At 37.3% G+C, this 27,048-nt stretch overlaps 1 protein-coding gene across 19 annotated transcripts in view, besides 1 other annotated feature; it reads left to right on the top strand.

Annotated features, from left to right (window-relative positions):
* TUT7 (terminal uridylyl transferase 7) overlaps nt 1-27,048 on the top strand; it is a 66,678-nt gene that overhangs the window by 6,463 nt on the left and 33,167 nt on the right. For 17 of the 19 annotated variants that reach the window (NM_001185059.2, NM_024617.4, XM_005252207.4 and 14 more), the window contains exons 3-14: nt 1,468-1,649; nt 2,163-2,279; nt 2,794-2,971; nt 4,785-4,873; nt 6,895-6,946; nt 7,843-7,912; nt 8,999-9,125; nt 10,410-10,529; nt 19,456-19,608; nt 22,434-22,614; nt 23,988-25,075; nt 25,473-25,623. In NM_001185059.2, coding sequence (NP_001171988.1) covers nt 1,468-1,649; nt 2,163-2,279; nt 2,794-2,971; nt 4,785-4,873; nt 6,895-6,946; nt 7,843-7,912; nt 8,999-9,125; nt 10,410-10,529; nt 19,456-19,608; nt 22,434-22,614; nt 23,988-25,075; nt 25,473-25,623 — 2,508 coding nt within the window. Of the gene's footprint in view, nt 1-1,467; nt 1,650-2,162; nt 2,280-2,793; nt 2,972-4,784; nt 4,874-6,894; nt 6,947-7,842; nt 7,913-8,998; nt 9,126-10,409; nt 10,530-19,455; nt 19,609-22,433; nt 22,615-23,423; nt 23,587-23,987; nt 25,076-25,472; nt 25,624-27,048 lie in introns of all 19 variants that reach the window. The other 2 variants (NM_001330718.2, NM_001185074.2) reach the window with 2 other exon arrangements.
* Nucleotides 19,290-19,997: an enhancer, noted in NCBI's record as "OCT4-NANOG hESC enhancer chr9:88942866-88943573 (GRCh37/hg19 assembly coordinates)". NCBI's record gives its function as "activates a minimal SCP1, AML or CMV promoter by ChIP-STARR-seq in naive H9 embryonic stem cells {active_cell/tissue: H9 hESC(naive)}" and the evidence as "EXISTENCE:reporter gene assay evidence [ECO:0000049][PMID:30033119]".

Genomic DNA, 27,048 nt, shown 5'->3' with positions numbered 1-27,048 from the left:
GATAAGCAAACTAAATGAGAATGGATACATCTCTAAGTAAAAGAAGTGCTTATCTGAAAAAAAAAAATTGTTCAGACCAGAAATACTGGCCTTAAAAGATTATGATAATTTAATTGGGAGTCGGGGGAGTATTAAAAAGGAAATATTAAGGTAGCGCAAGGTAGCCTGATTTTCTGTTGAAATGACAACTTACCTTTTAGTATTTTATTTGTTCAGTGTATTTTGATTGATTTTTTAAAACTACTTTTCCAACACTTTAATTTTTTTTAATTTTTTAATTTTCTTATATTGTGGAAGGTGTTTGCAGAATTTTGAGATAGTCATCTCAGGTAGTTTTAGCACAATGCTTGCTGCTTATCCTTTAGCGCTCTCAGCAAGCTTTTTATAAAATTGGAGGTCCTATATTTCCTTTTCAGCCTGCCAGTTCATTGTAATTGCCATACTAGTAGTAATGAGTTCCTCTGAAAACTTGATGGAGGAATTACTTCATGTAGGGCTTTTCAGTAGGTTTATGTTTCCAAGCACTAATGTGTTACTAATAGTTTCATTTTTTAAAACTCGATATAAGTTATCAAAGCTATCTAAAACAATTTTTTATGGTTTAATCCCACAATCACTTTAACAAGTTGAAAAGTTATAAGTTTTAAAAAGGAACAGGATGATTTTTATTCATTATAAGGATTATAGAACTAATAGCAGAGTTTATAAACAAATGTACTTAGAGAAAACTTTTGTTTCAATGGCCAGTTGTTTTTTTCCTTTGAAATATGCTCAGTGTACAGGCCATTCAAAGAAGCTAAAATGAAGGTAAAGGTAAAATGAGAGATAGTTGTCCTTAGTAAATAAAATTTTGGCTTGGACTTCTTCATATTAACGGAGGGACCCGGCTTAGGTGTTATTGATGGCTAAATTTGCAACTAAATGATGATTTTTCACTCCAGATGAGTATATAGTTGATTTCTGAGTTGTCCAGGGGTACATTTTGCATTTTGCCTTATTGAGATTGTTCACTTATAGAAGATGAAAGCAAATGTGGCTGGTTTTAATGAGAATAACAGGTGTACTTACAGATATTATAGAATATGTAAGATATATTTACAATATGTATTGTAATATTTTAATATAATAGAATTATAGATATACTTGCCTTCAGAGTATAATTTTTCTGTTGCTTTGCTATGCTCAGCAGTATACCAGGAAGAGATAATAAAAATCAAATTGTATGATTGAAGTAGAATTCTTTTAAATTTTCCAAAAAGATGATTTCTATGGCTTAATGTCTACAGGTGATGTGCTCACTGAATACAGTATTAAAGCATTTTGTCCATAGGACAGCTACCTTTCCTTCTGCTCTGCATGCAGATGTGATTTATTCTCTCACATGATTTAATACATATGTAAGGTCTGCTTTTTACTCAGGAGTGGCATTATTTAATATTGCCAATAATATTTTTCCCCCACCTTAAGAAAACAAGAAGCAGAGGTCCAGACCTAGGAAGCCACGGAAGACTAGAAATGAGGAAAATGAGCAGGATGGAGACTTGGAAGGCCCTGTGATCGATGAGTCTGTACTTTCAACGAAGGAGCTGCTAGGCTTACAGCAGGCTGAGGAGAGACTGAAGAGAGACTGCATTGACAGGCTAAAAAGGGTAACATCCTTATATATATATTTGTTGGTTAGAATCCTGGTTTTAGCCTCAATTTTGTTGTTAATTGAGTATGCATGCTCTGATCAATTAGATATCCTACTTTGGTTATCAGTATTTAAGCACTACAAGTTAAAAGTGATGTCCAGTGTGATTTAATAGGATTAGGAGTCATTGCTATTATACTTAAAATGACTGTTAGGGTAGTGATAAAGGGAACAATAACAGTAGCAATTTTAAAAGTGAAGAAGAAGCCAGGCACAGTGGCATGCCTGTAGCCCCAGTTACTTGTGAGGTTGAGGCAGGAGGATTGCTTGAACTCAGGAGTTTGGGGCTGTAGTATGCTATAATGGTATCTGTGAATAGCCAGTTCACTCCAGCCAGGGCAACATAGTGAGACTCCTGTCTCTTTAGAGAAAAGAAATTGAAGGGGAAATCATTTCCTGGCTGATTTTGTTTATCTGAATGTTTGGTTTTACTTATGTCTCTCTCTAAATAAATCTCTTCAAATTATAGCGACCACGAAACTACCCTACAGCAAAGTACACCTGCAGACTCTGTGATGTTTTAATTGAATCCATTGCATTTGCCCATAAGCATATCAAGGAAAAGAGGCACAAGAAAAACATTAAGGTAAATTGAATGTAACCCAAACAAGTCTGCTTACTTGTTAGTTGTTATTACTTGTCATCTTTGTGGCTTTCTTCTCCTTAAGGCTATGATATTGATAACTTTACTGCTTTATTTATTGAATATATTTGAGCCAAAATACATAATACTGGTCAGATGTATTTTACTGGTTAATCTTGTGAATTTCCTTAAGGGCAGCATCAGGTTATATGAAGTCATTGATAGGACCCAGGTATATGTCCTTATACTAGTATTAAAGCAAACAATGTTTGTAAGTGCTGTTTTTAATATTCTTTCCTTACACTTTCTCCTTATGCCCACCTATCCTCTGTTACCACTGATCCACATTATGTGCATAAGGAAGTATGTATATGTTTGATAGGATGAAAACTAACACAGCTAAAATGAGAAGGGAGGGCTAAGAAAAAGAAAACTCTATAGGGTGTTGTCTTCATGAGTGGTAGAAGGTCAAAACTATGTGTAAGTCATTTTTAATCTCAACATTTGATCTTAAAAGGAGAAGCAAGAGGAAGAGTTGCTCACTACGTTACCCCCACCAACACCCTCCCAGATAAATGCAGTTGGCATTGCCATTGACAAAGTGGTACAGGAATTTGGCTTACACAATGAGAACTTGGAACAGAGGCTGGAAATTAAACGTATCATGGAAAATGTGTTCCAACACAAGTTACCAGGTATTTTCTAGATTTGTTTTTCTATTTAACTACCTAAAAGTACCTCATTCATTTCTCCTACCAATAGTAATTTTCATCAAATAAAAATTTATTTACCATGTCATGAAGCTCTTGTGTTTTCTATTTTTTTGTTTTTTGTTTTCCCTGGCTTTCCCTAAGGTAACAAGGACTTTCATATGCATTGTCATTATAAACCTGTTTCCATTATAAATTTTACCCTGTGTGTGAACTTTAAGTTGAATGCCCTGCATTATTGGGGCACTGTGGGACTCTTGTGTATGTATGTTTCCCTTTCCGCTCATCTAAATTGACACCATATTTTGAGTTAAAATCAAGAGAAGTATCCTGAAGTTATTTTCAGGTTATTCATGTCAAAAAAAAAAAAAAAGATTTTATTTAACTGTACTTAAGAGAATTGCAGCATCTAAAATGAACTTTGAAAACTAGTTTTAAGAAATTTGTATTGGATTTTGTGCACTGTTGAATTGATTTTCCAAGTTATGTCTGTCTTCTGCCTGTTTTTAACTTTAGACCTTTGGCATGATGGGGAGGGGGCACAACTATTTGGAGTGTATTACTATGAAAATTTAAGGTCAGGTATGTTCAATGCCTGACACAACTGCTGTCAATCCTTGATGGCAACAAACCCCACCCCACATCATCCCCCAACCCCCACTGGCCATTGCTGTTTAGGTAAATGGTTGGAATAGCTTCATCATTCTCAATTCTTGCTGTGCATCAGAATTATCTGTGAAGCCATGGACAACTATTTTTACAAAGCTCGACAAGTGATTCTGATCCACAGCTAGGGTTGGAATCATTATTTATATTTGTCACCTTATAAATCTTAAAACTGTTTGTTCTACTGAAAGATCATACATATAGTATTTGTAACGCATATACTTTCATAAGAATAAGGGAAAATAATCTCATTTTATTATACATGTATTTCCTGAAAAGTCAGTTGTAATTCTGATGATTTTTACTGTAAAATTTCATGTAAAAATGAATGTACTTTGTTGTGGAAAACTGCTAAAACCCAAAGAAATCACTTGAATTTTAGCAAACCTTAAACAAACAAGAAAACCAACCCCTGATGAGAAAGGATACTATTTTGGCATCATAGTAAAACACTGAAAATAAATGCTATACTATAGATAGTACTCATATACACACACATCTTCCTCTGAAGAGTGAAGTGTCTGCTACCTATGTCAGTGATATTGTAATTATTTTTCAAAAGTTTATTGGGATTTTGTTACAGCAAACGCTTTTTGTTCATAATATAATGAGAAATTCATATTAAATATGTCAAAAGATTATTTTTATTATTGTTTTACTAAAACCTCCTTATAGTAAATTACACCAATGGGTGCATTCTAAAAGGTGAAAAGAAACGTTTGCATTAGCTCTTGAATATACTATCAGGTTTATAAATTTAAACAAAGACATTCTTTTTCAACTGGCACATTTAAAAAAATATTTTAAATAGTATTTTCTTCATAAAATGTGATATTTAGATAATAGTATTTTATTCATAAAATACATGATAACGTAGCAATTTGACGTTTTACAACTGACATGAAGCGTGGCTGTTAAGCTAAATCATAGTTGATGCAGCCTTCCCTATTAAATTAAGTGAAGAGCAAAGAGCCACCTATTTCTGTCCTTTGTTTATGCTAGTCTTGAATACAAGTTTGCTTTTGTGTGTAATTTTAATTGATGGTTCTGCTTCTGAAATAGCAGTGTTTTGTTATAACTTTTGAGAAATTCTACTGTATTTATTACTTTTATTTATTTATTTATTTTTTAGATTGTTCCCTAAGATTATATGGGTCATCCTGTAGCAGATTGGGTTTCAAAAATTCGGATGTAAACATTGACATCCAGTTTCCAGCCATTGTAAGTACAAAATGAAATGCTGGCACTTTCAGAGTGGTATGGAAATTCTTTCTTACAAATGTAAACTGTCTATGAATATATTTTAGATATTTGAAGATATTTTAAGTGTAATGACAGCATCCGCTTGCCTTCAGTTTCAGAGCTTTTTTTTTTAATACTCTGCAAATTTTCATACTTATTTTAGTCTATAGATCTTTTATACATCCAACACTGGTTTTTCAACCATGTGCACCTGATGGGGGTGTTTAGGTTCTGTTACTTAAAAAGAGTAAATTTTCTTGATAAAATCAACTTTCCAGTGGCAGAAAGGGAATTCAGATTTTAAAGTGTAGATATTTAAACATTTATGATCTGCAAGCTTAATTGTCTCTGGAGTTTCCTCTTTTTGTATACCTATTTTGTTAAAATAATTAGGCTTTTAAAGAATCACACCTAGCCTGGATTTCTGGTTTAAACATGATTTAAAAGTATGTTGATGAGTTAGAATTTTAAAACTGGAGTGTAGCTGGACACGGCACAGTTCTGTAGTCCCAGCTACTCTGGAGGTTGAGGCGGGAGGATCACGAGCCCAGAAGTTCAAAGCTGTAGTTAGCTGTGACTGCACTTGAGAATTGCCACTGCATTCCAGCCTGGGCAACATAGTGAGACCCTATCTCTTAAAAAAACAAAAAACTGAAAGGCACTTTAGTAGATTATCCATTTCTCTGCTGTTAGTTCCCACAGGCCTGTTTATAGATGATGTGTTTGCAGTTACTTGGGTTGCTTGTTAAAAATCCATATTCTGAGCTGGGTGCAGTGGCTTCACCCTCTAATCCCAGCTACTCGGGAGACTGAGGTTGGAGGGTTACTTGAGCCCAGGAGTTCATGAACAGCCTGGCCAGCCCCACCTCTCTCAAAAAAAATCCAGATTCTGGGGCCCCAGAGGTTCTATTTTACAACCTCTTACTTCTTGCTAAACCTGAGTGCTGTAGCTACCTGGTAAGCTACCCAATAGACTGTTTTTTTAACCTTAAATTCTGATCAGTGATTTACCAGCCATAGCAGTTATTTTGATCCGGTGTCATTAATTCATTTAGCAAATATTCACTCATCCCATTTGTATGGCAGACATACTAGGTTATAAAGGACAAAACAGAGATGGTTCCTCTTTATGGAACTCATCTAGTAAAGGAGATTAGTAATTACCTTGTAATTATAGTGAGAGCTGTGCAGGTAAAGGTTCAGGGATAGAAAATGACAAGGTCTGGGCAGAGATACAGCAGTCATGAAGGCTTCTTTGAAGAGGGAACATTTAAGCTGAGTTCTAAAAGACGAAAAGGAGCCTGCAGGAGAGGGGGAAACGGGAGGGAAAAGAGTTTCAGGCAGGGGGAGCAGCATTTGCAAATACCCTAAATCAATAAAGAGTTTGGCATATTCAAGGAGCTAAAAGAAAGGTTGTGTAAGTATGGTGAAGGGACCAAGAAAAAGAAGAGCAGGAGATTAGGATGGCTAGGTAGGCTGGGCTTGACTGGCCGAATTGTGTAGACCATGGTAAATAAAGAATTTGGTTTTGACCTAAGGGCAGTAAGAAGTCATTGAGAGTTGTAAGGATACAGTTTATGATTTTAAATGGCCCTGGCTCCATTGCGAAACAAGGATTTTAAAAAGAAGTGCAAGACTGACTCCGGGACCAGTAAGCTATCTGTTGCAATGGTATTAGAGTGAAAGGTAATATTGTTAGCAGTTTGACAAACTTCCAGCTACCACTTTGAGACTTGCTGAGAGGCAGGTTAACCTCAATAATTAGTTAAATCAGAAGTTAGTTGTATAGTAGGTCTCTTGCCCACATTTGTCTTCATTTGGTGTTGATCTGTCTGTCTTTGACTGACATATGCAAACAACATAGTGAGTAATTTCTTTACTTTGATAGCAATGTGCATTTCTCATTTAGAAAGGAATTTGGGGAACTTCGGATGACTCTTATATCAGTGAAGCAAAATCACTTAGGAATAATTTCATGTATTCATTGATTTATTTCCTAGATGTCTCAGCCAGATGTCCTCTTACTTGTTCAAGAATGTTTAAAGAACAGTGGTAAGGCCAAATTCCACATTTAAAAAATTTTTATGTTGTCTATAATTTGGATCTATCTTATTTCTCAAACTTTGAAAATAGCAAGGCATGCTTTTAAAATTATTTATGTGGGTAATATCCAAAGCAAATGCCCATGAATTATTAACTAGAGTCCTGTTAGTAGTTCTACTATGCAGAATAACCATTTCATAAGTAAAGCTTTTAGCTTGATGACATCATCACTATTTATAAAGATTAAATGAGTCCTAGATGTGACTAAGAAATGCAAAATATGTAAAATGTACTCTTGAGGGTAAAACTGAAGGATAATCTGCTTTTATCAATGGTTAAAATCAGTATTTTACCAACAGTGAATAGGTGTAACCCAACCCTAATTAATGAATCCACAGAGTGGTGCCCATTTAGGTTTATCAGTTGTCTAATACAATGTCCAGCTTGGGGCTTTATGGCTCTTTGTGTTTTACATAGTCCTTATGAAACTGTGTCATCTCTTGAATTAGTCATCCCCATCCTCCTTGTTTTGGTTAAATTTTGTCTTCGATCAATACATATTTTGACACTGAATATTTTAGTAGCTTTTACAGCAACTTTGTTTTTAAATGTATTACCTATATTTCTAATTGTTATCCATATAACATTTGAATTTTCTGATCCAATGATGTAGTCACTTATAATGAAACATTCACTTTACAAACTAAGGGTTTTACACTAATGTGATAACTTGGTTTTTGAATGTAATATTTTTTCCTTTTCAAGTCATTGCAGAGCATTATTTAGTAGTGGTCTTTCAAAAGACTCAACAGCTAAGGGACAACTGGTACTTGTACTTTATCTGGTTCTGCTTTTAAACAAAGCTTTAATTAACCAACTTAATATTTTTCTTCTTCTTTCCTCAGACTCCTTTATTGATGTTGATGCAGACTTCCATGCTAGGGTGCCAGTGGTGGTGTGCAGAGAAAAGCAAAGGTCTCATTTCTTTAAACTGTTTATTTACTAACTCTCAACTTGCCAAAAGCACAAGTACTTTACTACATCTTAATGTCCAATTTCTAGAATTATAAGCTTTTTATTTGGTTATCACACATGGTTCCTACTAACATTCTCCCTATACTTTTGGCATTTGATGTAAAAGGGGAAAATCTCATTTTAAAAATAATAAAATGACTTAAAAGAAAAAATATAGCAAGGAAGTATTTCGGTCCATTTCAACTCGTTAAAAAACAGCCTTATTAAATAGTTACTTGCTGTAATCACCTGTATTTTGCCACCCTTTTTGGCAGCATTTATGGCAGTGCTGAGTAACAGTGTGACCTCTCTGGTTTATCTCTCTCTGCCTCTGTGTGAAAGCATTACTGTCACTACTGTAAATGGGTGGTTTATAGGCTGTAATGATTCTTCATTAGGTACATTCCTCCAACTCTTGGGAAAACACTCTTTTATTGTTACAGAGATGAATCATGCTCCCATTTGAAACTTTTTTTTTTGAGACGGAGTCTCGCTCTGTTGCCCAGGCTGGAGTGCAGTGGCGCAATCTTGGCTCATTGCAACCTCCGCCTCCTGGGTTCACACCATTCTCCTGCCTCAGACTTCCGAGTAGTTGGGAGTACAGGTGCCCACCACCACGCCTGGCTAATTTTTTATATTTTTAGTAGAGTCAGGGTTTCACCCAGGATGGTCTCGATCTCCTGACCTCATGATCTGCCCGCCTTGGCCTCCCAAAGTGCTGGGATTACAGGCGTGAGCCACCATGCCTGGCCCGAAACATTTGATAATATTTTCCTTATTTGCATTTCCCCCCAAAAAATAATATTTGAAAACAAAATTATTAATCCGAAAAATAAAGTTTACTCAGAAAATAGCCACGATATCTTTTTTGTAAAGAAAATTTATTAAATTACTCATAAAGATGTAGTTTTTTTCACTTTTAAGCTTTTTATTTTTGAAGTATTTATTATGCATGTATATTAGTTGTTGGCATAAAAGACACTTTGAGACCTGTGTAACACTTTTTTCTTTTTTTCTTTCCCATCCTCCTCCCCCACCTCTCACCAGTGGTCTTCTGTGTAAAGTGAGCGCAGGAAATGAAAATGCTTGTCTGACAACAAAGCATTTAACTGCCCTTGGAAAACTAGAACCAAAGCTGGTTCCTTTGGTGATTGCATTTAGGTACTGGGCAAAGGTAGGCTTGAGGTCTTTATGCATGAATACATTCTACATATGTATAAGCAGTATGCTTTGATTTTTACTTAATTTAATCTTCAGTGTTTAAATGCAAATTTATAGACATCAAAAGAGAAAGACATCTGAATTTTGCAACAGAAACGTACAGACGGAAGATTCAGTGTTTCTGTTTCACTTTAACGGTATTGCTCAAAAGATCAAAATGATTTATAGGGCTTATTAAAAATCAGATTTGTGAGTTAAATCTCAGAGGATAAGGCCCAGGAATTTACATTTTAACTAGTTTACCACAGTGGTTGTTAGGCACAGGAACGTTGAGATAAAGCTTCTCATATCATGTCCAATAACATACACAGAGACGGCAAAAAATAGAAGATACTCTCTGATCTTGTTTACATTTCCATAATGTTTTAAATATATTTCAATTAAAATACTCAAACAGTAGAAGATTTAACGTTCCCCCAAAATGTGAGGTTGAGTCATGATTATAAAATTGAGATTCTGTCGCTTGAACCTGGGAGGTACAGGTTGCAGTAAGCCAAGATCGTGCCACTGCACTCCACCCTGGGTGACAGAGCAAGACTCTGTCTCAAAAAAAAAAAAAAAAAAAGAGATTCCATGTATGTGCTTTTAGAGAAAATCAAAAGCTTTACTGATTCAGGTATATCAATAACAATAGATACTTCCCGTTTCTTGGATCCTGAATGAACAACGGATTTCCCACTCTTCACTGGCTAAATTATAATTATAATATGCTATCCTTTGAAAACCACCGCCTGCTTCATCACTAAGTAGAACATGCCCTTTTAGTTGTTATTTCCATTAGTGGTGATGAGTTTGTCCACGTTCTCTCCCCACGCCAATCTTTGTGACCAAAGCATGCATATGCAAGACGCTATGGGTTAGGGTAAGAGGACCATTGAACTGGCTTAATGTGTAACTGAACAATCGTTTTTAATTCATTAACATGTATTCTAAACAAATGAATGAATTGACCATGGATATCAAAAAATAAAATAGGAAATAATATTTTAGGGCCATCCACAAGTGAGTATGGTTAACAGGATTAAATATTCAAAATTGAAACTATCACTTAAAACCACAATATGTGGTTGCTGCAAAAGTATAAGGAAGTTGTATATTTTGTAACTGCTATTTTCAGCTGAAGAATTACCGTAAATCATGTAGTAAACAAGAATGAGGTTACAGGTTTTAGGCCAAATCGTGTAAATGACAAATTCATACAAAAAGAATGCTTAACTTTCTTTTCTCTTGTTTGTAGCTTTGCAGTATAGATCGCCCTGAAGAAGGAGGTCTGCCACCTTATGTGTTTGCCCTGATGGCCATTTTCTTTCTTCAGCAGAGGAAAGAACCCCTTTTGCCTGTATATCTAGGATCATGGGTATAAAACATTTTTTTTGCTTATATATCTGAACAGATTTTATTACAGGTCCACAATTAAATTTTGCATAATTTCAAAATCTAGACACCTAACCAGAACTGACATGGATTTATTTATTCTACTCATGTGAATATTCATACCTTTCACTGCTGAAATACTAATGTGTTTGATTTCAGTATGTTGCCCTATAACCTGCTTAGGGATATTATTACCTTTCTAGACTGCAAAATCTCTTAATTTTTGAAATATGTATGGTCCTGAGACGAACAAGAGACTGACCCTGTAAATTTACCATTTGGTACATTCTTTCTTTGGGTACAGTTTTCTAAATTGATACTTGAATTTACATATCACCTCCAGACAGACAGACTGTGGGAAGCATTTGGTTCACTGTAACTTACTTTCTGTTTCTAATCTATTTCTCCCCATAACCTGTAAAACAAAAAAATATATAAACATTGAAATTGCTACCTGTACCACAAGATGCAGAACCTAGTAGTCATCTCTTGAATAATATTTTGACATTATTTTAAAGATGAATTAGAATTCATGTGATCACTCTTTCTTTCTGGATAAATTAATGTTGAGTTGATTTGTTCAAGTAAGATTTAAGAAGAGACCATCTGAAAGAGTCAACATGATATTAGCTCATCCTCTTAGAAACCTTGTTTGTAATCCCTTGGTATTACCTTGATACACTTTTATGTGTAGAAAAACTCCCATTTTATAGAAAGACCCCTTAGTGAAAAGCTTACTTTGACACATTGGCTATTGTAACTACTTTTCTTAATGCACACAAGTTTCTCTCATCATTTAAGGAGTTCTTAACAATGAGTACACATCAAAAAATACATTTAAAGAGAATTTTTTCCTTATACTGAATAAGGTGAGATTAAGCAGGGACTTCTGTCTACCAGGCCGTGGGAATAAAGACTGAAGTAGAATAACTCACTTAGAAAACTATCCTGGCATAAGGGATTATTGCATGCTGTGTATCCTAGTAACCTAAAGGTAGTTCTCTTCGTGCCTGTGGTACTGAGAGAATTCAGAGCCATGAGAGGGTATCTCTACCAGACTACTGTCCTGGTAGAAAAAAGAGCAAGAGAACAAAGTCAACCCTTAGTTGATAAATAACTCTTTCCAGCACACCCAAGTAGGAATGTGTGAAAGTCTTTGAAGTTTTCCTTTCACCTTGATCTAAGAGAGATAGGAATTTAGGATAGGATTAAATCAGGTGGACTCCTGCACCTAAAAAAACCCTGGCACAAGTTGGATAAGTTGCCTTGCTCACTACCATCTTACTGAATGAGATCTGCTTTTTCATGTGTCTTGATCTTCTCTAAGTAGTCATCTGTCATTAACATGAGAATGCAGGAAAAAGAAAAATCTCTTCTGGTGATGAGATTCTCCTAAGGATACTTCAGGGTAGTATGGATACCCTTTCCTATGGCCAGCATATTATTTCCTTGTTAGTGATACCGGAAACTCTCTAAAGTGATACTGAATTTGATTTTGATTGGATCATGTTTGTTCAAAATTTAATGACAAAAGCAGGTATGCAGTGATCAAACACTGGATTGAAATCATTGGATCCATTAAGGCACACTACCACCCGAACCAAAATGATCCTGCGGTGTTCAGCATTTTAAACTAGTTAGGAAGTGAAGAGAATGGAACTAATACTTACTAAGTATCTTTATGCTAGATATTTTACATACATTATTTCTGCAGAAAATCCAATGAGGTCCTCATAATTATGTACATGAGAGTATCTAACTGTTAATTCCTTCAAAATATTTAAAGCACTGTGTATACTAGTCATTGTAGTAGTGCCTGAAATACAAAGATGGACAAGACCAAATTCCCTGTCAGGAAGTTTAGTGTATTGTGCCTGTGTTCTCTGATCTGTCTTTTCACAAATCTTTTAGTCATTCTGTCCCGACCTACCCAGATCTCTTCCATGTTGGAGACTCCAACCCTCTCCAACCTTTATTCCCAATCATAATTCCCATTTTATTGTCATTAAATCTTGATATGATTGAAGTTAATCATAGTGAGTTGTGAATGAAGAATAATTTTATATTATAAAAACCTAGTCCTTAGCAGATATTCATACTTTAGAGATGCCAGGTAATATAGTAGAAAAAAGGGTGATTTTCAAGTTTACCAGCACTGGGACTCATCTCTGTTTTGCCACTCACATCCTTGTGACCTTGAGCAAGTTATTTAATCTCTGAGCCTCAATGTCATTCTGAACCTTGAATGAGATAATGAATGTAAAATTCCTGAAACAAGGAAGGAGAACAAATGTTATAGTCCTTTTCTCCTTCAGTAGAAAGTCAAGTTCCACTTATGGTGTGGAAGTGTGAACTCCTAATCAAGTGATCCTTCTGCAAATAACAACTATAAACTCTGGGCAACATACAGAAACAACAGCATCAAAAACCTGCAGACTGAACAAATGCAAACAGTCTTTAGAGGGGAGTCAAAACTTGGAGCAAATGACCAACACAGAGTGAGTCTCCTGTTTTTCTGTAGCTCTACCCCTAAAGGCAACTCTGATTTAAGACAAAAATCAGTCCTCTTCCTGGCCAGAGGAACCAGGGCCACCAGAAGATAAGGTGTACAAGAGGAGGAACTGAAAGGAAAGATAACAGATAAGTGGAACCCTTAAAACCCTTAAAAAGAACCCTGGGTATAAAAACTCAGGATGTCTCTGCCCAACTCCTGAACCAGTTTAGTTTGGCATGAAAGGAGCCCAGAAGTCGTCACTCTCATCCTCACAAGAAAAAAAACTGAACAAACGGAAAATCAACAATTCTTTTTGGATCCATCAGACAATTGATGTCATGGGCAAACCACTGCCCCCAGAATTAGAGAGCAGGGTAATACAGTGAAGCACAGCTTACCAGAGCAGAAGGCCAGGAGCGGAATCCTGCCACTGAAGCCAATACTAGGGTAGAAAAATTTAAAGTGTAGTTGACAAATTTCCGAAGGCTCAGTTTGGACAAGCTTGAGGGTTAAAAATTTCTCCCATTCTTAGGAGGGCTTCCTCAGACTTTTGTGTGAGTTATACCTCCAGGAATCCCACTAAGCTCTGAGGGTAAAGACCTGAGAAAAATCTCCCAGTGCTTCTGGCAGGATGAGAGGAAAAGTTGCCATTTAGAAATAATGCCCAGAGCATTCTTTAATTATTGAAAGCCTGCCCTTCGGAGGTACTCTTACTGAAGCCTAACCACCTTGGGTTTTACTTGCCACGGGAAGGGAGGTACCTAGCTCCACTGCTCCAGCCTTCCTTTCTCATCTAAGTAAGGGTGGTAGTAGGAGAACTGGGAAATAGTTATGAAGGTCACTGTCTAGGGGCACAAGCTCACTAAAAGACTGAGACCTAATCTTAGGACTATACAGTGTTTCCCCTCTCCAGGGATCACAAGGTCTGAACTACAAGTCTCAGACCTTTTTTAAGAAGTCTTTAGGGAAACACAGAGGCAACAAGGGAGACAAAAACAAGGACACCAGAGGAATTTTCAGCTACGACAGCTGCAGAAAACAATAAACATCCTAACTCCTAGCCAGATAAACATAAAACCTCACCCTAAAAGCCTGTTTACCCAGTACATCGTGTCTAGCTTTCAACAAAAAATTACAAAGCATGCTGAAAGGCAAAAAGCACAGCTTGAAGAGACAGAGCATGTGTCAGAACTTAAGTTGGATATGACAAATGTTGAAATTGTCAGACCAGGAATTTAAAATAATAATGATTAATATGCTAAAAGCTGTAATGGAAAAAATGGACAACATGCAAGAATAAATGGGTAATATAAGCTGAGAAGCAGAAACTCTCAAAAGATTTAAAAGGAAATGCTAGAAATCCAAAAAATTATAACAGAAATGAACAATGCCTTTGGGCTCATTAGTAGACTAGACATAGCCAGGAAAAATCTGAGTATGAAGTGATAGCAACAGAAAATTCTCAAACTGAAAAGTAAAGAGGAAAAAGGAACAAAATACCTAAGAACTGGGTCAGTTAGTCAAGGTTGAAACATATGTATAATGGGAATACCAAGAGGAGAAAGAAAAAAGAACAGAAGAAATAGTAGAAGGACTAATGACTGAGAATTTTTCAAAATTAATGCCAGACTCCTAAACCAGGCCTGTGTGGGGCAGATTGAATATAGTTGGGGGCCAAGGCTTAAAGAACTGATGCAAGAGCTGAGCCACAATCTACTGGAGGTGTGATAATTTCCAGTTTGCCTAAACAAGTTAATTACCTGCTGCTAAAACAAAAACATCACTTTTTGGAGTAAAATAAATGATTAAAATTTTAATAATATAATATTTACAATGTCTAAAATGCAATCCAGAATTACTCAGAAAGAGTCAAGAAAGTGAGACCTACTCTCAAAGGAAAAGAAAATGAACAAAGGCAAACTCCAAGATGACCCAGATGCAACTGTCAAAGACATTAAAGCAGTTATTATAGCTGTGCTTCATGACAGAGGAAATAATACATGTGGAATAAATGAAGAGATAGGAAATGTCAGCTAGAGAAGTAGGAAATATCAAAAGAACCAAATGGAAATTTTGTCTGAGTGGACAAACAGAAAACACTCAAATGTTAGACCTAAAACCAATGATATCAGTAATCAACTTAAATATTGACAGACTAAATATCCCCACTAAAAAGCATAGATTACCAGAATTTATTTATTTATTTTTAACTTTCAGGTTCAAAGGTACATGTGCAGGCTTATTATATAGGTAAACTCATGTCACGGGTTTATTGGACAGATTATTTTATCACCCAGGTACTAAGCGTAGTACCCAATAGTTATTTTTTCTTGCTCCTCTCCCTCCTTCTACCCTTAACCTTCAAGTAGGCCCCAGTGTCCATTGTTCCCTTCTTTGTGTCCATGAGTTCTCATTATTTAGCTCCCACCTATAAGTGAGAACTTGTGGTATTTGGTATTTGATTTTCTGTTCCTACGTTAGTTTGCTAAGGATAATGGCCTCCAGCTTCATCCATGTTCCTGCAAAAGACATGATCTTGGGTTTTTTTATGGCTGCATAGTATTCCACGGTGTATATGTACCATATTTTCTTTATCCAGTGTGTCACTGATAGGCGTTTAGGTTGATTCCACGTCTTTGCTATTGTGAATAGTGCTGCAGTCAACATTCGCATGCCTGTGTCTTTATGGTAGAATGATCTGTATTTCTCTGGGTATATACTCAGTAATGGGATTGCTGGGTTGAATGGTAGTTCTGCTTTTAGCTCTTTGAGGAAAGTGTTCCCTTTTCACTGCAACCTTGCCAGCATCTGGTATTTTTGACTTTTTAATAGTATTCTGACTGGTGTAAGATGGTATCTCATTGTGGTTTTGATTTGTATTTCTCTAATGATTGGTGATGTTGAGCTTTTTTCATATGCTCATTGGCTGCATGTATGTCTTCTTCAGAAAAGCATCTGATCATGCCCTTTACCCAAACTTTTTAATGGGGTTATTTTTTCCTTGTAAATTTGTTAAGTTCTTTATAGATGCTGGATATTAGACCTTTGATATATAGTTTGCAAAAATTGCCTCCCATTCTGTAGGTTGTCTGTTTACTCTGTTGATAGGGCTATGCAAAAATTCTTCAGTTTAACTAGATCCCCTTCAGAATGAATTTTAAAAGCAAGACTATATTCTAGAAGAAATAAATTAAATATAAAGACATATAGGTTAAAAGTAAATGGATGGCAAAAGATGTAAATTGTAACCAAACGAGAGAGGCTATGTTAATATCAGATGAGATTGATTTCAAGTGGAAAAAATATGCCAAAGACAAAAGGGACATTTTATTAGGGTAGGGTCAATTCATTGGGAAGACAAAACAATCGTAAATGTTTGCAACTATTAAGAGGGCACCAAAATACATGAAATAAAAATTGATGGAATATATTCTACCATCAGACAAGGAGATTTTAACAGCCTTCATCAATTGACACCTGTGTTAGCTAAACAAAAAATCAGTATAGATAGTATAAACTGATACATCATATCAACCGCCTTGACCTAATTAATATTTATAAAACACTATACCCAATAACTGGAGAATACATATTTTTTACAAGTCCATATGGTACATTCATCAAGATATACTACATGCTGGTTCTTTTGTTTTTTTAATTTAAGAGACAAGGTTCCACTATGTTGCCCAGGCTGGTCTCAAACTCCTGGGCTCAAGCAATCCTGTGTCAGCCTCCCAGAGGAGGGCCTATGCTGGTTCTTAAAATAAGTCATAGTACATTTGAAAGGATTCCATGGATTAAAGAGGAATTCAAGTGGGACATTAAAACATATTTTGAACTAAATAATAATAAAAATGTAAGATAGTTTGGCATAGTGGCACACACCCTAGTCCCAGCTACTCAGGAGGCTGAGGTGAGAGGATTGCTTAAGCCCAGGAGGTTGAGGTCGAGGCTGCAGTGAGCTATGATCACACCACTGCACTCCAGTCTAGAAAACAGAGCAAGACCCCATCTCAAAAAAAAAAAAGAAAGAAAAAAATACAAGATATATAAAATTTGTCAGATGCAGCTAAAATAGTGTTCATAGGGCAAGTTTTAGATTTAAATGCTTAAATTCAAAAAGAAAGGTCTAAAATCAGTGACCTAAAGGTCCACCTCAAAAAGCTGGAAACCAAAATGGGTGAAAGACCTAAATGTAAAAGTTAAAAACTCTGAAACTCCTAGAAGACAACCTAGGGAAAAACCTTTGCAGAAAGGATTTCTTAACATACTAAAATCAATAAAGAAAAACATTAAGAAATCAAACTTTATCTAATTCTAAAACTGCAGCTCTTCAGAAAATATCACTAAATAAACAAAAACTCAAGCTACCCAGTTGAGAAAAATATTGAATACATACATCCAACCAAGAAATAGTCACTACGCCTAATATTTTCCAAAGTGTTTTCTGTGGAAGACTAGTTCAGTCTGTCAACAAATCTTTACTGAGCAGTTACCATGGCCAGGCACCAACTAATTCTGGGTGTTACTGTTAGAAGTGGTGAACAGGGCCGGGCATGGTGGCTCACGCCTGTAATCACAGCACTTTGGGAGGCCAAGGTGGGTGGATCACCTGAGGTCAGGAGTTGAAGCAGCCTGGCCAACGTGGTGAAACTCCATCTCTACTAAAAAAATATAAAAAAATTAGCTGGGCATGGTGGCAGGCGCCTGTAATCCCAGCTACTTGGGAGGCTGGGGCAGGAGAATCGCTTCAACCCAGGAGGTAGAGGTTGCAGTGAGCCGAGATCATGCCACTGCACTCCAGCCTGGGCAACAGGGTGAGACTCTGCCTCAGAAAAGAAAAAAAAAGAAGTGAACAAAACACAATTCTTGCCCTCGAATTTATACATCCAATTGGGGCAAGAGACTAATAAATATATATGCAGTGGTGGTACTTTCTCTGAGGAAAAATAAACCAGGGTAAGGAGGACAGAGAATGATAAATGTGGAGCTCCTTAGAGAAAACATTTGAGCAGAGCTGAATAAAGTGAGGGAGAATGAGTCATAGTCTCCCTCACTTTGTTAGGGGGAAGAGCATTTTAAGCAGAGGGAATACCAGGTGTCATCTCTGAGCCAAGAAGATAGAAGGATCAGAGAAGTAGAAAAGAGCCAGGTTACTCAGGCCCTGGAAAGGACTGCACTTCATCTAGAGTGAGACAGAAACCACTATGAACAGGAGAGTGTGTCTTCTGTTTTAGAAGGATCACTCTCTTCTAAACCAATGAAGTAGCCCATTTGGTATAAAAATACATTTGGGAAATGTGATGTCACATCCATACTCCATCCCATATTATTTTGTTCATTAACCTGTTTTTGTTTGTTTTTTGTTTTGTTTTTTTTTTTTTGAGATGGAGTTTCGCTCTTGTTGCCCAGGCTGGAGTGCAATGGCACCATCTCGGCTCACTGCAACCTCTGCCTCCCAGGGTCAAACAATTCTTCTGCCTCAGCCTCCTGAGTAGCTGGAATTACAGGCATGCGCCACCATGCCTGGCTAATTTTGTATTTTTAGTAGAGACGGGATTTCTCCATGTTGGTCAGGCTGGTCTCGAACTCCTGACCTTAGGTGATCCGCCCACCTCAGCCTCCCAAAGTGCTGGGATTACAGGCATGAGCCACCATGCGTGGCCTGTTCATTAACCTGTTTTAAAGGCTGTGATAAATCCTATCATACGATGAAGAAACCTGTTCAGCTCCGTTTGACATTTCACAAGCCTTTTCAACTAGACCATTTTCTTTTGCATTAATATTCATTAATAGCACATAAAATTTACTTTGAAAATGTCCAGCATACCCAGAATTAATAGTATTTAAAATTATTTTCTAATTAGCTGGATCTAGTTCTTGTAATTTTCATTTTCTAGCAATATAGTTGTCTTGTATTTATTAAGCAGTTACTATGTGCTGTATGCTACAAGCAGATACTACCTCTATCTGAGTGCCTTATGGTCATTTTTTTTATATCATAACCATCCCATGAAGGAAGTCCTAGTGTTACCCCTTTTTAAAGGAACCTGAGGCCTACAGAGAGTAAGTACCTTACTCAAGGTTATACAGCTAGTATATGAAGGAGCTGAGATTTGGGACCAGGCAGTTTTACTTCAGAACCCATGACGTCAGCCACTAGGCCATTTTGCCTACTCTTAGAATATTTACTGAGGAATTATTTCACAAAGTCACCATTTCTTTTGCAAATCAAAACCTTGTTTTTTACTTTTAAAAATATTTTTAAATGTATAGATGTCTCTGTGATAGTCCATAAATTATATCTTTTGTATTTTCGTTGAACTATGAGTATTTTTTTATTCCAAGATTAGTAGACTGTGTTTGATATAAGATTATTTCTATCTTATTTTAGCATGTGTCTAATTTTTCCTAGATTGAAGGATTCTCATTAAGCAAACTAGGGAATTTCAACCTTCAAGACATTGAAAAAGATGTTGTGATCTGGGAACATACTGACAGTGCTGCAGGGGACACAGGCATAACAAAAGAAGAGGCACCAAGAGAAACGCCGATTAAAAGGGGACAGGTCTGTTCTCTTTTGTTTCTAGTTGTCAGTTTCACTTGCCAATTGTGAAGTTGTGGATTAGTCAGTCTTGTCTTCTTTCCTTAACTATCTTTACTATTTCGTGGCTCTTTCATTTGCCAGTCTGTTTAGTACCTCGAACAGACAAGTAATGAGAAAAGGTTAAAAAAAATATTAGATCACTAAATCCACAGTTATTTATGTAGTTTCTTTGTGCTGGTTCCTTTGAAAGAGACTCAGAATTCAAAGGTAAATCCATATCTATCCTCAAAGAGCTTAGTCTTAGGTGGTATTATGAGGTTTAAATGTATGAAAGGTTAACTAGCTTTCAGTTACTAAAATAACAGTGAATGCATATATGATTTAATGTACCGGTCCCATACTGTTGGGGGTGGGCAGGGGAATTTATGCACAAGGAAAGAATAGCCATTAGAATTTCAAACAAAAATCTCTGCAATGTCATTATCCTAGTAATAAGAATAAGATTCTCTCCCAAATAGGTGAAAGGCCCCTGATCTTCCCGTTACCTTTTGGGGTAAATTGACAGTAACATCCACAAAATTCTTGGAATCGAATCCCAGCTTTATACAAACAAGTCATGTCACTCCTCCAGTTCATGTTTTACTCATGCCTAAAATGAGGAGTTAGTGGTGAATCAGATTTTCCAGTTGTGTTTTCTAGAATCCTTGAACACTGGGAGGAGGAGGAGAGTGGTGGTACCACCCTACCTCTGCTGCCACCAGAACCACTTTTATCTGTTTCTTATTTGGAGTCTCTGTAGTGGAGAAGAGTATAGGCTGTGGAGCCAGAATATGTGAATTTGTATCCCAGCTCTCCCACTTCCCAGCTGTGTGTCCTTGGGCAAGTGACTTCGCCTTTCTGTGCACCAGTTTCCTCCCTACTCATGGGGATAATATTGGTACCCTCTCATAGGGTCACTTACAGAATGCTTAACTCAGTGCCGAGCATGTGGTGAGCACTCAGTAAATGTTAGCTGCTATTCTTATTTTATTTGAAAAAGAAAATGTTCTCTGCTTTAAAGAAAACCAGTTTAAGTTCCTGTAGTCTAGATATTTCAAAGGTCTCTCCAGTTTCATGTTATGGTATTATCAAGTCATTTCAGTGAGATGCTTAAAAATCCTTTGTAATGCCGCTATGGATAAAGAGGTAAAATGTAATAATGCTTAAAATTTCTGGGGGGTTTATTTGTGTCCTCAAACTGTAGTGTTTGGGACTTAGACAACTTCCATTTTTAATCAGTTCTGCCTTGTAAAGCCACCAGATGACTTTGTATTACTTGACAGAACCTTTGTGATTGAGAAAAATAGACCACTGATTTTGAAGCTTAATATAATAAAGTATGATTGAAAACAAATTTGTGCACCTTAGAGGAAATTACTTTTTTCAGTGTGAATTATAGGAAAAGCTATTGCTGTAAATCCATTTAATGCTTTATTTTTACATTTTTATGTTATTTGGAAAGATTAATCATGCTGCCACTTCTGAAATAAAGTGAGCTTCAGACATTATGGGGTTGCATATGGTGTGCACTGTACTGAGATCAGGAGACATTGAGACATTGTTCTCATCCGGCCACTGCCAGGCAGTGCAACCTTCTGACAAGCCATGGGCACTCGTGGGGCTTCAGTTCCTTCTCTTGTAATATACAGGAGTTGAACTAGATTACCTCTTAAGAGCATCTTACAGTGGTGACATTGTGTTTCAGTGATATATGGATTTCTTGTACTTAAAAAGGCTATACCTACGTGGAAAAAATACAGAGAGCAACCAAGTCTGCCAGATGCTTTCCCTTGTTTCTGATTTAATCCTCATCACTATCCTGTGTTATAGGTGGTATCATCCCTACTCTGCAGATAATGATAGCGACCATTTTTTGAACACTGTGTGCCAGGCACTGTGCTAAGCACTTTACAGACACTATCTCACTCAGTCCTCCCAACAACCCTATGAGGTGGGTACTGTTATCCCCATTTTTCAGATGAGGAAACCCAGACTTAGACAGATTATAGACCTTGACCCAGATCATACACAGCTAGTACATGGCAGAGTTTGGATTTCAGATCTAAGCTTGTCCCAATTCCAAAGCCTGTTCTCTTAGCCACTGTGCTGTGCTACCAGTCTGAGAATGAAGAAGCTAAGTCACAGAGCAATTAAGAGCTATGACGTGGCAGAATCTCTATTTGGGCCCATATTTTCCCCTATCCTAAGTAATATGTACTTTCTAATATATTACATCGCAGTTATGTTCCAACTTGTCAGAAGTCTGTAACTGTAAAACCAGTGTCAATTTCTGATGGCAAGAGTTATTTGACTTTAAAATCAGTTGTCACTGACAGAGTCAATGTGCTTATGTAGCTTCTCAGGGCAGTGAGAGGAGTGTTTTTCCTTTTTCTCTATGCCTTTAGCTACTGTCCATTTTTGTGTGTCTGTGACTGTAAAGGTGCCTCCAGCAGCAGTAACAGGAAGAGTTCAGTGCTGAGAATATTAGCAACCCATGCACAGTCCTCTCCACCTGTTATTAACAGTTCAAAATTAGGAGCTCTGTCTGGTTAAATAAAACTGATCCTGTCTATTCCTGTGATAATGACTGGATTATAGCATACTCTAATCCTAATAGTGCAGTGAAGTAATGCTGTTTTACCACAAACAAAATAGAAGTTAGAATTGATTTATCTAGATGGATTGTCAGGCTTATATCTTTGTTAAGGTTTTCCAGATTTTTTTAATTTGATGCTTAAATGATCTTTAATTTTCCAGATTGTACTTACATCTGAAATAACCTGTATGTTTCTCTTTGCTATTAATAGGTGTCATTAATATTGGATGTGAAACACCAGCCTTCAGTACCAGTTGGGCAGCTCTGGGTGGAATTGCTGCGGTTCTATGCTTTAGAATTTAATTTGGCTGATTTAGTGATAAGTATTCGTGTCAAAGAATTGGTATCTCGGGAATTGAAGGATTGGCCCAAAAAGCGCATTGCCATTGAAGGTATCTCAAAATGTTTATCTTATTCCCCCCCACTCTTTTTTTTAAAGGTACCAGTCTAACAGCATGCTTTTTATTTCAGTCTCTTTTCAGCTCCTACAAGTAAGGTAGGCCTGCCCTCAAAGGGAAATAAATAGTTAGAATCTTGCATGTGTTAACAGTGGGTCATTTCAAGGAATCAAACTGTTCACCCTGGGTTTTTAAAGTATAAACAACTTGAATAATGGCTGGCTGAGTCCTTGCTTTCTTTGTAGATTGCTTAACCACTTAAATGCCTAAAGTATGTTTTTCACAGTGATGTGTAAATCCCCCTTTCCTCTTTACCATTCTCACCTCTGGATTTTTTAATTCAGTCCTTTTGTGGATTGTTGAAGTTGTTTAGTTTTGCAAAGGTGAGGACAATACTTTTTCTCGTCAAAAATGTCATTCTCCATTGGATTCCTCTCCAGTAGAGAGAATGAGTAGTTATTTTTGACATATCTACAGTAGCATTTAGAACTTATTCATAAAAACACATTTTTAGTGAAGCCTCATTTAACTGAAATCACTTTATCAAAGACACACTGATGTGCCCTGTAGACATCATTAAATGGACTAGCTCTTCTCAGCTTTGCAAAGTCAGGAGGTTGAAACCCCTCTAGAAATCTTAATTCTCCTCCTTTAAATAATTTAAAGAACCTCCTAAATGGAATTCTCTTATTTTTGCTTGATTTTTTTTTCAAGCTTTATGTTGCATAAGAGGGTTTTTTGCATTTTGCATAAATTCTGTGTGCAGTCATGGGGATCTCACATTTTTAAACCCTCCCCTGCAGTTTCTGTGGCTCAGCTCTTCTGGCCAATTGCCTAACCTGCTGGAGTTCTAGGGGAGGAGAAAAGATTGAGAGAAGTGGTGTCTCCTCCTGGTGCCTCCCTCTCGCCCCTGAAATTCAGTCCAGCCAATTCAGTGATGGGGCTTCCCAGGGCAGAAGAGTGGAGGTAAGCTCGATAAACCACAGGGCCTGGCTGAGTGGGGAGGCAGAGCACTCAGCAGCAGCAGAGCCTGGTGGGAAGATCTTCCTTCCCAAGGGCCTGAGAGCCACGCTGATAACATCTTTTCTACCTCCACAGTCACAGAGCACAATAGGGAGAAGGGGTACTGGTTCTGAACAGAATGGGTTCCCTTCATAGAGCCGATGTTTCAGAAAATACTGCTTTTTGTTCTTAAACTCTGTTTTCTTACTCCCCACCCCCAGTTTTTTTTTAAGTCTATAAAATGCAAGATAAATTTTACCATTGTTTGTTGTCTGTTTTTATCTGCAGCAGGCTAATTTTTAAAACATGAAATATAGTAACATATGAAGAGATGGATTTTTCTTTCTTTCTTTTTTTTATTACAGATCCCTACTCTGTTAAAAGAAATGTGGCAAGAACCCTAAATAGTCAACCTGTGTTTGAATATATACTTCATTGTTTAAGGACAACATACAAGTATTTTGCTCTTCCACACAAAATTACAAAATCCAGCCTTCTAAAGCCTCTGAATGCAATTACATGTATTTCAGAACATTCTAAAGAAGTAATAAATCATCATCCAGATGTACAAACAAAAGATGATAAGCTCAAAAACTCAGTTTTGGCCCAAGGTCCTGGTGCTACCAGTTCAGCTGCAAATACCTGTAAGGTACAGCCACTTACTCTTAAAGAGACTGCTGAAAGTTTTGGAAGCCCACCAAAAGAAGAAATGGGAAATGAACACATCAGTGTCCACCCTGAAAACTCAGACTGTATCCAAGCAGATGTTAACTCTGATGATTACAAGGGTGATAAAGTATACCATCCAGAAACAGGAAGGAAAAACGAGAAAGAGAAAGTTGGAAGGAAGGGCAAGCATCTGTTGACTGTTGATCAGAAACGTGGAGAGCATGTTGTCTGTGGCAGCACACGTAATAATGAGTCAGAGAGCACTTTGGATTTAGAAGGCTTCCAAAATCCCACAGCTAAAGAGTGTGAGGGACTTGCCACTTTAGATAACAAGGCTGATCTTGATGGAGAAAGTACAGAAGGTACTGAGGAACTAGAAGACTCTCTAAACCACTTTACCCACTCAGTACAGGGCCAGACATCAGAAATGATTCCCTCTGATGAAGAGGAGGAGGACGACGAAGAAGAGGAGGAGGAAGAAGAACCTAGGCTCACCATTAACCAAAGGGAAGATGAAGATGGCATGGCTAATGAAGATGAGTTAGACAACACCTACACTGGGTCAGGGGATGAGGACGCCCTATCTGAAGAGGATGATGAGTTAGGCGAAGCTGCTAAGTATGAAGACGTGAAAGAATGTGGAAAACATGTAGAAAGAGCTCTCCTAGTGGAACTTAATAAAATAAGTCTCAAGGAAGAAAATGTATGTGAAGAAAAAAATTCACCTGTGGATCAGTCTGATTTTTTTTATGAATTCAGTAAACTTATCTTCACCAAAGGCAAGGTAATCAGTACCACCACTAGTCATAGAACTAGGAGACTTTAAGGACTTTGAATGCATTTAATTTCAATTTTTATATACTAGGAATTTTCCTATTTTGGTAGTGTTGAACAAGTTGGCCTTTCATTCTGATATGACTGCTCGGTCTGCTTTTCTCCTTAAGACTCATGGGAATTAGCAGAGGAAGGGAATGCTATTAGTAGTGAAAATAGCCACTATGTTCTCCTAATGATACTATAGGATGTCCCCATCTCTCAGATCATTTGAGTGGATGCATGTTATATTTTCATTTCCTTTGGAAAGTGAATAGGTGACTGTGTACTTTTAAAACATGATTCCAGACTCCTTTATTTGGCAAATAAAGTGTTAAGTCTTGTTTTGCTTTGCCATATTCCTGCAGTCTCCTACGGTAGTGTGCAGCTTATGCAAACGAGAGGGTCATCTAAAGAAGGACTGTCCTGAAGACTTCAAAAGAATCCAGCTAGAACCTCTGCCACCATTAACACCCAAGTTTTTAAATATCTTAGATCAAGTCTGTATCCAGTGTTATAGTAAGTTATTCACATTTCTTTTGATTTGTCAAAATATTAAATTGACATTTACTCGAGTCTTTAGAATCACTATCCTATTTAGGTCTCTAAACATTATTAGGGACCAAGTCTATTCCATTCTCCATTGTATCCTCAAGCGTTCCATGTCATGTCTGTTCTGTTTGGGACATGCAATAAATGTCAAAGAAGGATGAGGAGAGATGCAGGGAGGATCTTTTTTATTTAAAAAAAAATTTTTTTTTAAATTTTGAGACAGGATCTCATTCTGTCACCCAGACTGGAGTGTAGCAGAGCAATCATGAGTCACTGCAGCCTCGACCTCCCAGACTAAAGCAATCCTCTCACCTCAGCCTCCCAAGTAGCTGGGAGCACAGATGCATGCCACTATGCCTGACTAAATTTTTCATTATTTGTAGAGACACAGTTTCCCTGTGTTACCCAAGCTAGTCTTGAACTCCTGGGCTCAGGCAAATGGAGGATCTTTTATTTTTCTTTTAATATCAAGTGCCTTCTGTACTTCCTTTTATTAACAGCATAGTTGTTGCATCAAGATACATAGCAATCATAGCAGGTTTCCTTTTTTGGAGGGTGATGGTGAGACAGGGTCTTGCTCGGTCCCCCAGGCTGGAATGCAGTGGCGCAATATCAGCTCTCCACAGCCTCTAACTCCTGGACTCAAGCAATTCTTCTGCCTCAACCACCCAAGTAGCTGGTATTACAGGCATGCATCACCACACCCAGCTCATTCTTATATTTTTTGTAGATACAGGGTTTCACCACGTTGGCCAGGCTGGTCTCAAACTCCTGACCTCAAGTGATTCATCCAACTGAGTCTCCGAAAGAGCTGGGATTACAGGCTTGAGCCATGGCGCCTGGCCAGCAGGTTTCTTTTTAAAGCTTAGTATTAAATATCTTTCCCCATTTAAATTTTCCATTACTCTGCCAAGAAAAAAAATTTTTTTTTTTTTGAGACAAAGTCTAGCTCTGTCACCCAGGCTGGAGTGCAGTGGTGCGATCTCAGCTCACTGCAACCTCCACCTCCTGGGTTCAAGCAATTCTCCTGCCTCAGCCTCCTGAGTAGCTGGAATTACAGTCATGCACCACCATGTCCAGCTAATTTTTTTTTTTTTTTTTAGTAGAGATGGGGTTTCACCATATTGGCCAGGCAAGTCTCAAACTCCTGACCTCCAGTGATCCGCTCGCCTTGACCTCCCAAAGTGCTGGGATTACAGGCGTGAGCCACCGCTCCCGGCCAAAAATTAAAATTCAAGTTACTTGAAGCCTGGACACACTTCCCTGGCTAGCTGGGCTATGTAAAGGTTGGTGGTGTTATTCTTCCTGCTGTGTAAGCAGATCCAGGCCCCAGAAAGAAGGGACCAGGTTATATAATTGTTTTTGAAAAGTTTGCTACAAAAATGCATGGCC

The sequence above is a fragment of the Homo sapiens genome, chromosome 9, assembly GCF_000001405.40.
Source record: "Homo sapiens chromosome 9, GRCh38.p14 Primary Assembly".
NCBI lineage: Eukaryota > Metazoa > Chordata > Mammalia > Primates > Hominidae > Homo > Homo sapiens.
The sequence above is the reverse complement of the archived record's forward strand: the minus strand, read 5'-3'. Positions and strand labels throughout refer to the sequence as shown.